The 10,599-nt window shown below is 40.4% G+C and overlaps 1 long non-coding RNA gene across 1 annotated transcript in view; it reads left to right on the forward strand.

The window, feature by feature from the left end:
* LOC105376481 (uncharacterized) overlaps positions 1-3,042 on the forward strand; it is a 123,422-nt gene extending 120,380 nt beyond the window's left edge. The window contains exon 3 of the long non-coding RNA XR_001747410.3: positions 2,506-3,042. This is a non-coding gene — a long non-coding RNA (uncharacterized LOC105376481). The remainder of the gene's footprint in view (positions 1-2,505) is intronic.
* The last annotated feature ends 7,557 nt before the right edge of the window (positions 3,043-10,599 follow it).

Consider the following 10,599-nt stretch of genomic DNA (forward strand, 5'->3'; position numbering starts at 1 on the left):
TCTGACATCCTGCATGTGTGGGCCCCAGACGATCCCCAACTGTGTCCAGCTGGATAGATGTCACCAGGGAAAACCTCTCATCACAGCAGGTCACTTCCTTTCTCAGGCTACAGCCACCAGAGCTGGGTCAACTGGGGCTAGGAAAAGTAGGCCAACACAGAACTGGCTGGAGAAGGAAATCATGCAGGGCTTATTTAGAAGTGTCTATGATCCACAATGAGATTGATACCTCATCTCTGTGTAGGGAGATTTTGGAATGATCTCCATTTCCCTTCTAATTCTGAAGGCTGTGTACTGTGGTTCCAACCACGTAATTCACCCAAATTAGCACTGATGAACTAGCTTTTCACACACAAATATCTTTTCCAAGCATCAGCGTATTTTTATTTTGTGTCTCCAAATATTGCCAACGATGTGTGCCCAGGGTGTGGATATAGCAGGGCCGAACTTGGGTTGCCATCTGCACGAGGAGATGTTCCTCATATGTGCTCCTTCGCCAGTTTGCTGCCTGAAATCCTTGAACGGGAAACTGAATCTTTAATTCTACCATCTGATATAAGAACTCTATGCCAATGTGATGGGAGAAGATGCTCATTGAAAATTTCCCACCAAGATTTCAATGAATCATACAGATTCTTGCCTGAAGCTAAGCTTTGTAGGCAGTTGATATTGGGGATGGGGAAGGATGGTTGAAGCAGGAGGTCCTGGGGTCCCTGACACGGAAGAAGGTGCCTGGAAGTGCACTAAAAGGAGCATATAGAGAAAAGGAGGACAATTTCACCCACTCCACAAAGTGCTGAGTCTCTCAGTTGATGATTCTCCTGTCAGCAGAGTCTGCCTGTGGGCCAGGCATCTTGGAAGGAGAGAGGCTGCTTTGCTCCTCTCAGGCCACGATGCAGAGGCTTAGCCTCCCAAGCTTCCTTGGGCACCAAGACTAGCAGCACCCAGAGCTGGGTTTATGTTTGGTTCACCCTGAACTGCACTGACTCACCCCCAGCAGAACTGGGAGGAGCTGACCTCGTCGTGAGGCCTAGTTCTCATTCACCTGGTTATAGGCGCAGTGACTCGGCCCTGTGGTGTTCAAGCCTTCGCCAATGATGCACCTTCATGGGCAGGAATCCATGGGCCCACCCGGGTCTCCGTCTTAGTTCATTTGTGTTGCTATAAAGGAATACCTGAGGCTGGGCAATTTGTAAAGAAAAGAGGTTTATTTCACTTACAGTTCTTCTGGCTGTACAGAAAGCATGGTGCTGGCATCTATATCTGGGGAGGGCCTCAGGCTGCTTCCACTCATGGCAGAGGGTGAAGGGGAGGTGAAAGGGACCTGATGTGTAGAGATCATGTGGCAAGAGACAGGAAGAGGCCGAGCTCAGTGGCTCACGCCTGTAATCCCAGCACTTTGGGAGGCCGAGATGGGCGGATCACGAGGTCAGGAGATCGAGACCATCCTGGCTAACGTGGTGAAACCCCGTCTCTACTAAAAATACAAAAAAAGTAGCCAGGCGTGGTGATGGGTACCTATAGTCCCAGCTACTTGGGAGGCTGAGGCAGGAGAATGGCGTGAACCCAGGAGGCAGAGCTTGCAGTGAGCTGAGATCGCGCCACTGCACTCCAACCTGGGTGACAGAGCGAGACTCCGTCTCAAAAAAAATAAAAAAGACAGGAAGAGAGGGGGGGAGGAGATGCCAGGCTCTTTTAAACAACCACTTCTCATAGGAACTAAGAATAAGAATTCACTCACTCCTGCAAGAATGGCACCAAGCCATTCATGAGGGATCTACCCCCATGGCCCAAATGCCCCGCACCAGGCCCCACCCCCAACAGTGGGGATAAAATTTCAACATGAGACTTGGTGAAGACAAACAAACCATACCTAAACCACCACAGTCTCCATTCAAGGAGAACTGATATTGAAGCACAGTCTTCTCTTGACCCAACCACCCTTTCCATCAGATCCTCCAAAGGCCAAAAAAACATTTAGCTAGTTAGACAGTCCAGAAAGAGGAATTTCTTATCAGAAAGGGCTCTGCAAGAAGACCAACCTGACTTTCCCCCTCCTTCTCTTCTTTACTACGTTCTTTGCCTGACTTAGCCAGGCAAGCTCTTACCGCAGTCTACTCTTCTTGATGGCACTGATGGGAAGGAAGTAGAAGAGACCCACATCTAAGTTTTCTTATAAAAACTTCTTGATCATTTTGGTCAAAAGTACAGTGAGCACATGGTGTGTATATAAATGTACCTAAACCATTGAAATAGCTGGGGATGTGCAGTCATAAGTCACTTAATGTGCTGTTAGGTGATTTCATCATTGTGCAAACATACCGGAGTGCACTTACACAAACCTACATGGTTGAACTTCCTACACGCCTAGGCTACATGGTATAGCCTATTGTTCTCAGGCTGCAAACTTAACCCAGGGTCCCTAGGTTTTTGGGTATGGACTGTGAAAAAGTACCCACTAGTACCTGTTGTACCTTAAGTTCTTCTTGTTTCCAAAAATTCCAGGAAGAAGCTCAGCCCTGGAAAAGCAAAAACCCATTGGATCCAGAGGTGCCTGAGTTGGAGATGAACTTTGGAACTTCCCTCATAACCGTACTAAAATCCCTGACCAGAGAGTAACTTATTTGCCATTTTCTATACATGTGACATATGTAGAAGCATGATCAATGACAGCACATGTGCTATTAATATCTTGCTCCATCTCGACATACAGTGACTCAGCTCACCAGGCCAACAAAAGGCCTGTTTTCACCTTTGATTGGAGGAGGCACTCCTTTGAGAACTATCCCCCATGTCCTCCTCATTTGTTGCCACTAATAAAATCCCTTTAAGTCCCCATTGCTTAAGTCCCCATTGGTTGTGGTCACTGGACTGCCACCTGCCATGTGATGGCACTGACCCGTTGTATGGGTAACAAAACTTATACAGTGTATCACTGTCCTGGATACTGCAGGCAATTGGAATGCAATGCTAAGCATTTGCATAACTAAACATAGAAAAGGTACAGTAGGACTAGGTGTGATGGCTCACACCTGTAGTCCCAGCACTTTGGGAGGCTGAGGCAGGCAGATCAGTTGAGCCCAGGAATTTGAGATCAGCCTGAACAACATGGAGAAATGCAGTCTCTACAAAAAATACAAAAATTAGCTGGGAGTAATGGCCTGTGCCTGTAATCCCAGTTACTGAGGAGGCTAAAGTGGGAGGATCCCTTGAGCCCAGGAGTCTGAGGCTGCAGTGAGTCATGATCTTGCCTCTGTGCTCCAGCCTGGGCAATAGAGTGAGACCCTGTCTCAAAAAAAAAAAAAAAAGATACAGTAAAACTATGGTATTATAGGCCAGGTGTAGTGGCTCACGCCTGTAATCTCAGCACTTTGGGAAACCAAGACAGGTGGATTGCTTGAGGCCAGGAGTTCAAAACCAGCCTGACCAACATGACGAAACCCCATCTCTACTAAAAATACAAAAAATTAGCCAGGTGTGGTGGTGGGCACCTGTAATCCCAGCTACTAGGGAGGCTGAGGCAGGAGAATCGTTTGAACCCGGGAGGTGAGGGTTGCAGTGAGCCGGGATCACGCCACTGTACTCCAGCCTGGGCAACAAGACTGAAACTCTTGTCTCAAAAAAAAAATGGTATTATAATTTTATGGGATCAATATCCTTCATGTGTCTGTTATTAACTGCAATGTTGTTATACAGTGCATGACTCTTCTTGGTCTGGACCACCTGGGACCTGGTTGAAGAGACTAGATACCAGCTAGTTCAGCCTTTATCTTGACAAAATCAAAAGAGTTGCCAGAAAGTCCTAGAATCGCCAGTTGTATTTTAAATATTGTGCATATAAATATAATGAGCAGTATTTGGTTTTACTACCATCATTTATTTCAGCATAATTAAAGCCATTTCTTCTTTAAAAATTGACTGTCGTATTTATATTTATAATCTGAGTTCAAGATTCTAAATTTTACTAATTCTTTTACTATTTCATCTTTTAAAAAATTATCTAACATATGGAAAGAAAAGGGAAAGATTACTCATTTAACTGGAATCATGTTTGAAACACTCTGAATATATTTCCTAACATTTCCTGATTGATTGCCTGGGAAATAAATATGCCCAAATGGTAGCATTATATTTATAATTCTAAGTCAGGAATATTTCCCTTATTGCTCTGCCTCTGAAATAGAGTCCCAAGAAAGTGCATAAAATATCAAAATAGTGTTTTCAATATCTGCCAAACCTGAACGTTTGCATCTCAGAAAGCAAATGTGCAACTAGTGAGTAAACTGCCTCTTTGTCAAACATAAATGTGGCAAATTCTAAGGCAACTCCTTTTCGACTAAATTGTCTCAGCATGCAGAGCAGCAGGGAGAATGTTTGCTATAGGACACAGGCAAAAAAACAATCTTTATGTTATTTTTTCCAGGAGGGTATTACATTACGTTTCAGAGAGAAATGATGAGCTATTCATGATGAAATGGCACATTTTCTTGCAGAATCACCTACTCTATTTAAATGTGTTCGATTCTTTAGAAGGTGTCCCTAATGTCCCACTGAGTCACAGTCTCCTCCCTGCCTCCTCTCCAAGTTCTTCCTTCCTAGCAGAGGAGATGTTAATGAATTCTGAAACATGACTCCTTGCTCTGGATGTCCACGTAGCCTGACCTCTCTAGATCCACTCTGACAGCACATACATGCTTTTCAAGAGGCACAATTTTGTCTTGTCTGGAGAGCAATGTAATTAGAAAGCAATTTGGCCCACACACGCAGCTTCCATGGTCACTTGGCACAGCCTCAGCCTCCTTCTGGCGGGGCTGGTTTTGTTCTGCTTTGGCTGGCCTCCTAGATGTCTAGCGGCTCAGTGATCCTCGTCCTCGCTTGCTCGGAGCCCAGGCTTGGCCAGACTTAGAGAGTGTCAGGTGCTGTCTGCTGGGAAGCCGTGGGGGCTGCACTGGAGCCCCACGTCGGCCCCATGTCCCACATGGCCTCCGGACATGTGCGGTGACGCCTCTGCACAAAAGAGACTCAGAGACCTGACATGAGCGGCCCAACCACTCTGTCTGGCTGGCTTCCTTGACTTTATTTGCTGAGCATCCAGAGGACAAAGAGAATCCGGTGGCACATCCAGCCCCCCAGATCTCCCTTATTACATTGCTCACAAATTTTTCCTCATCCCCCAGGCTCCAAATTGGCAGTGATCTTTAATTCTGCTCCCTCCATTTGTCTCTGCGTCCAACAAGTTACCATATCCTACACATTTGGCCTTCTCATTTCTGCCCTCGATACTGTAATTCAGGCCTCTTATCCAACCATTGTAACAGCCTCCCAGCTGTTATTTCCACACGGAACTCCACTTCCTCCAATTCTATTATAGCATTTCCCGGTAGTCAGATTAGTTTTCCAAATATATAGCATTGGCAATGTTATAATATCATCCTCCTGCTCACAAATCTTCAGTGGTTTCTCATGGTCTATAGTTTCTTTATTTGTGCGTTCTGGCCCACTGCCTGTTTTTATAAATAAAGTTTTATTGGAACATAGCCACATCCATTTGTTTACGTATGGCTTATGGCTGCATTTGTGCTATGATAGCTGAGTTGAGTCATTGTGACAGAGACCACATGGCTTTCAAAGCCTAAAATACTATTTGGCCTTTTACAGAAAACATTTGCTGGCCTCTGCTCTAAACTGTGCTCCAGTTTTCCTTTCTGGTTTTCTTTCTTTCCTTTTTTTTTTTTTTTTTTTTTCGAGATAGAGTCTCGCTCTGTCGCCAGGCTGGAGTGCAGTGGCGCGATCTCAGCTCACTGCAACCTCCACCTCCCGGGTTCAAGCGATTCTCCAGCTACTTATTTCCCGAGTAGCTGGGAAATAAGTACACCCAAACGGTAGTATTGGGACTACAGGCACGTGCCACCATGCCCAACTAATTTTTTGTATTTTTAGTAGAGATGGGGTTGCAACACGTTAGCCAGGATGGTCTCGATCTCCTGACCTCGTGATCCACCCGCCTCGGCCCCCCAAAGTGGTTTTATTTCTTTATAGCCTGGGCTTTCATGCTGTCGTGCCTTGGCTTTCATTAATACACTCTCTGCTTAGGGAAATGCAACCCTCCAGGCCCATTTCAGGGGGACCCTCTGCATGGAGACTTTCCTAACTTCTGTTTCAATGTGACCTCCCCTCACTTTTTACTTCGCTATGGCATGTTGAGTGTTCTGGCTTTTACTACAAATATTAATCAGTATCCTATTGCTTCTCCTCTCACCCCAGTCTCTAAGCTCCTTAAAGGCAGAAGTTATGTCTTATCCATCTTTAAATCTCCCCAGGGTCACCTGAATATAGTTACTTAATAGATATTTGGAGATTTTCTTGACTCGGAAACTAGGAGTCTTTTCTTCCAGTGGCTTCCAGAATAGATAATCAACATTCCCCTACTGGGGAGAAACAAGGTGGGAGAATGAATACAACCTATGCTCCCCTAGGAAGGTTTTAAGAATTTTATTTTGTGTTTCTTGTTTTGTTTTGTTCTTGTGCATAAGAGATTAAGGAAATACACAGCTACTTTATAAGAGACTCCTTAAGAAAGAGATGGAGGCAGGACCAAGGAATGCACAAAGGATGGGGTATTTTGCCATAAAAAGTAACTGCAATACACTGAATGTGTCCCCCAAAATTCATGGTTTTAAAAAATTAAATAACTGCTTTTATTGAGATATAATTTGATGTTTTGATATGCATATGTATTGGGAAATGATTACTATAGTCAGGCTAATTAACATATCCATTACCTCACATAATTACCTTATTTTTGTAATGAGAACACTTAAGATTCACTGTCTTAGCAAATTTCGAGTATACAATGCAGCATTATTAGCTATAGTCACCATGATGTACATTAGATTTCTAGAAGCTACTTCATCTCAAATAAATGAAAGTTTATACCTTTTGACTAACGTCTCCATTTCTCCCAGCTCTCAGCCCCTAGAAGCTGTAGAGATCCATGTTTTCGCAAATGACAGGATTTAGAATTTCCTTCTTTTTTAAAGCTGAATAATATTCCAGTGTGTGTGTGTGTGTGTGTGTATCACACACACATGCATCTATGTATTATCTATCTATCCATCTATTCTATCTATCTATCTATCTATCTATCTATCTATCTATCTATCTCTCTATCTAGCAATTTCTTTATCCATTTACCTGTTGACAGACACAGATTGTTTCCACATCTTGGTTAGTGTGAATAATGCTGCAATGAACATGGGAGTGTAGCTATCTCTTCAATATACTGATTTTATTTTCTATAACTTTGTAATATACTTTGGGATTGAGAAGTGTGATGCCTCCAGCTTCATTCTTTTTTTTCTCGAGACTGCTTTGGCTATTCAGGATCGCTTGTTGTTCCATACAAATTTTATGATTATATTTTCCATTTCTGTGAAAATTACCACTAGAATTTTGATGGGCATTGTGTTGAATCTCTGGATAACTCTGGGTTGTATGGACATTTTAACAATATTAATTCTTCCAGTCCACAAACACAGAATATCTTTCCATTTGTGTCTTCTTCAATTCCTTTCATCAATATCTTATAGTTTTCTATGTAATAGATCTTTCACCTCCTTGTTTAAATATACTTCTAAATACTTTATTATTTTTTATGCTATTATAAATGAGATTTTTTATTGATTTCCTTTTTGGATAATTTGTTGCCGGTGTAAAGAAACACTACTGATTTCTGCATGTTGATTTTGTATCCTGCAACTTTACTGAATTTATTAGTTCTAACAGTTTTTTATAGAGTCTTTAGGGTTCTGTACATATATAATCATATCATTTGCAAACAGAGATAATTTTACTTCTTTCTTTTTTATTTGGATGCCTTTTATTTCTTTTTCTTGTCTAATCACTCTGGCGAGAACTTTTAGTACTATGTTGAATAGAAGTCATAGTGTGGACATTCATGTACCAGACCTTACAGGAAATGCTTTCAGATTTTCTTCAATGATTATGACATTTGCTGTGGGTTTTTCATAAATGGCCTTTAATCTGTTGAGGTAAGTTCATTCTATACCTATTTTTTGAGAGTTTTTAGCAAGAATGGATATTGAAATTTGTTAAGTGATTTGTGTGCATCTATTAGGATGATCATGTGATTTTTATCTTTCATTCTGTTAATACAGTGTATCATGTTGATTGATTTGTATATGTTGAACCAATCTTGTATCCCAGGGATAAATCCCACTTAGTCATGGTGTGTAATCTTTTTTATGTGCTGCTGGACTTTGTTTGCTAGTAATTTAGTTTGCTGGTATTGAGGGTTCTTGCTTTTTATTTATCAGAGATATTTGCCTTTAGTTTTTATTTTTCTTCCTTGTGGTGTCTTTGTATGATTTTGATGTCAGGGTAATGCTGGGTTCACAAAATGAATTTGAAAGTATTTTCTCTTCTAGTTTTCAGAAGAGTTTGAGAAGGATTGCTATTAATTATTCTTTGACTGTTTGATAGAATTAATCAGTAAAGCCATCAGGTCCTGAGCTTTTCTTTGTTAGAAGGTTGTTGTTTACTGATTTAATTTTCTTATATCTTATTGGTCTCTTCAGGCTTTCTATTTCCTCTTGATTAAGTCTTAATAGGTTACATATTTATTGCAGCACATCCATTTCTGCTAGGCTATCCAATTTATTGGTGTGCAATTGCTCATAAAAGTCCCTCATGATCCTTTTTATTTCTCAGGCATCCACTGTAATGTTTTCTCTTTCACTTCTGATTTTGTCTAGTTAAGGGTTTGCAAATTTTGTTTATTTTTTTCGAAAACTCAGTTCAGCTTTGATGATTTTTCTGTTCTTTCTTTTAATTCTGTATTTGATTTATTCCCACTCTAATCTTTATTATTTCTAGCTAACTTTGGGAAAAGTTTGTTCTTCTTTCTAATTCTTTGAGCTATAAAATTAGGTTACTTGAGGTGTTCTTTTTGTAATGGAAACAAGCATTTATTGCTATAAACTTCCCTCTTAGTAGTCTTGTTGCTGCATCTCATAAGTTTTGATATATTGCATTTTCATTTCTGTTTATTTTGAGGTATTTAAACAATTCTCTTTTGATTTCTTGACTCAATGATTATCAAGGAAATGCCATTTGGCTTCCATATATTTGTGAGTTTTCCTGCTTTCTCACTGTTATTGATTTCTATTTCATTCCCTTGTGGTCTTAAAGATACTTGGAATGATTTCAGTCTTCTTCAATGTGTTAAGACTTGTTTTGGAACCTACATGTGATCCATCCTGGAGAATGTTCCATATATGTTTGAGGAGAATGTGTATTCTTCTGCTGTTGGGTAGAAAGTTCTAAATATGTCTGTTAGGTCCATTTAGTCTAGAGCATTATTCAGTCAGCTATTTCTTTATTGATTTTCTGTCTGGATGTTCTGTCCATTATTGAAAATGAGGCAGTGAATTCTCCTATCAGTATTTTACTGCTGTCAATTTCTTCCTTCAGATCCGTCAATATTTACTTTATATATTTAGGTGCTCTGGTATTGGGTGTATATATTTTTATAACTGTTAGATTATTCAACCCTTTTATCATTTTGCAATGACTTTTTTTGTCTTTAGAGAGTTTTTAACTGAAAGTCTATTTTGTCTGATACAAGTATAGCCAGCCCTGTTTTCTTTTGGTTACTATTTACATAGAATAATTTTTCCTTCCCTTCACTTTCAACCTATGTGTGTTTTTAAATCTAAAGTGAGTCTTTTATAGAAGAAAATTGATGGATCTTGTTTTTTAAATCCATTCAGCCACTCTAAGCCTTTTGATTAGAGAGTTTAATCCATTTATATTTAAAGTAATTATTAATAGGTGAGGACTTACTACTGCCATTTTGTTAATAGTTTTCATCTATTTTGCTATTGTTTTGTTCCTCTCTTTCTTGCCGTCTTTCTTTGGTATTTGATAGTTTTTGGTAATGATTTGTTTTGATTCCTTTCTTTTTATCTTTTGAGTATCCATTATGGACTTTTTCCTTGTGGTTACCATAGGGTTTGCATAAATTATCTTATAGTTATAATCATCATATTTTAAGTTGATAACTTGACTTCAATTGCATTAAAAAACTCTACACTTTTACTCCCCTCCTCTCACACTTTGTTTTCTTGTAGTCAGAGTTTACTTCTTTTTATATTGGGTGGCCATTGGCAAACTTTTGTGATTCTGGTTATTCTTTTTTTTCTTTTTCTTTTCTTTTCTTTACTTTTTTTTTTTTTTTTTTTTTTTTTTTGAGACGGAGTCTCGCTCTGTCGCCCAGGCTGGAGTGCAGTGGCATGATCTCAGCTCACTGCAGACTCTGACTCCCTGGTTTAAGCGATTCTCCTGCCTCAGCCTCCCGAGTAGCTGAGATTACAGGCACGCGCCACCATGCCCAGCTAATTTTTTTTTTTATTTATTTAAAAAAAAATTTTTTTTTTCAGTAGAGATGGGGTTTCACCATGTTAGCCAGGATGGTCTTGATCTCCTGACCTCATGATCCGCCTACCTCAGCCTCCCAAAGTGCTGGGATTACAGGCATGAGCCACTGTGACCAGTCGATTCTGGTTATTCTTAATATAT

Source organism: Homo sapiens, chromosome 10 (genome assembly GCF_000001405.40).
Source record: "Homo sapiens chromosome 10, GRCh38.p14 Primary Assembly".
Lineage (NCBI taxonomy): Eukaryota > Metazoa > Chordata > Mammalia > Primates > Hominidae > Homo > Homo sapiens.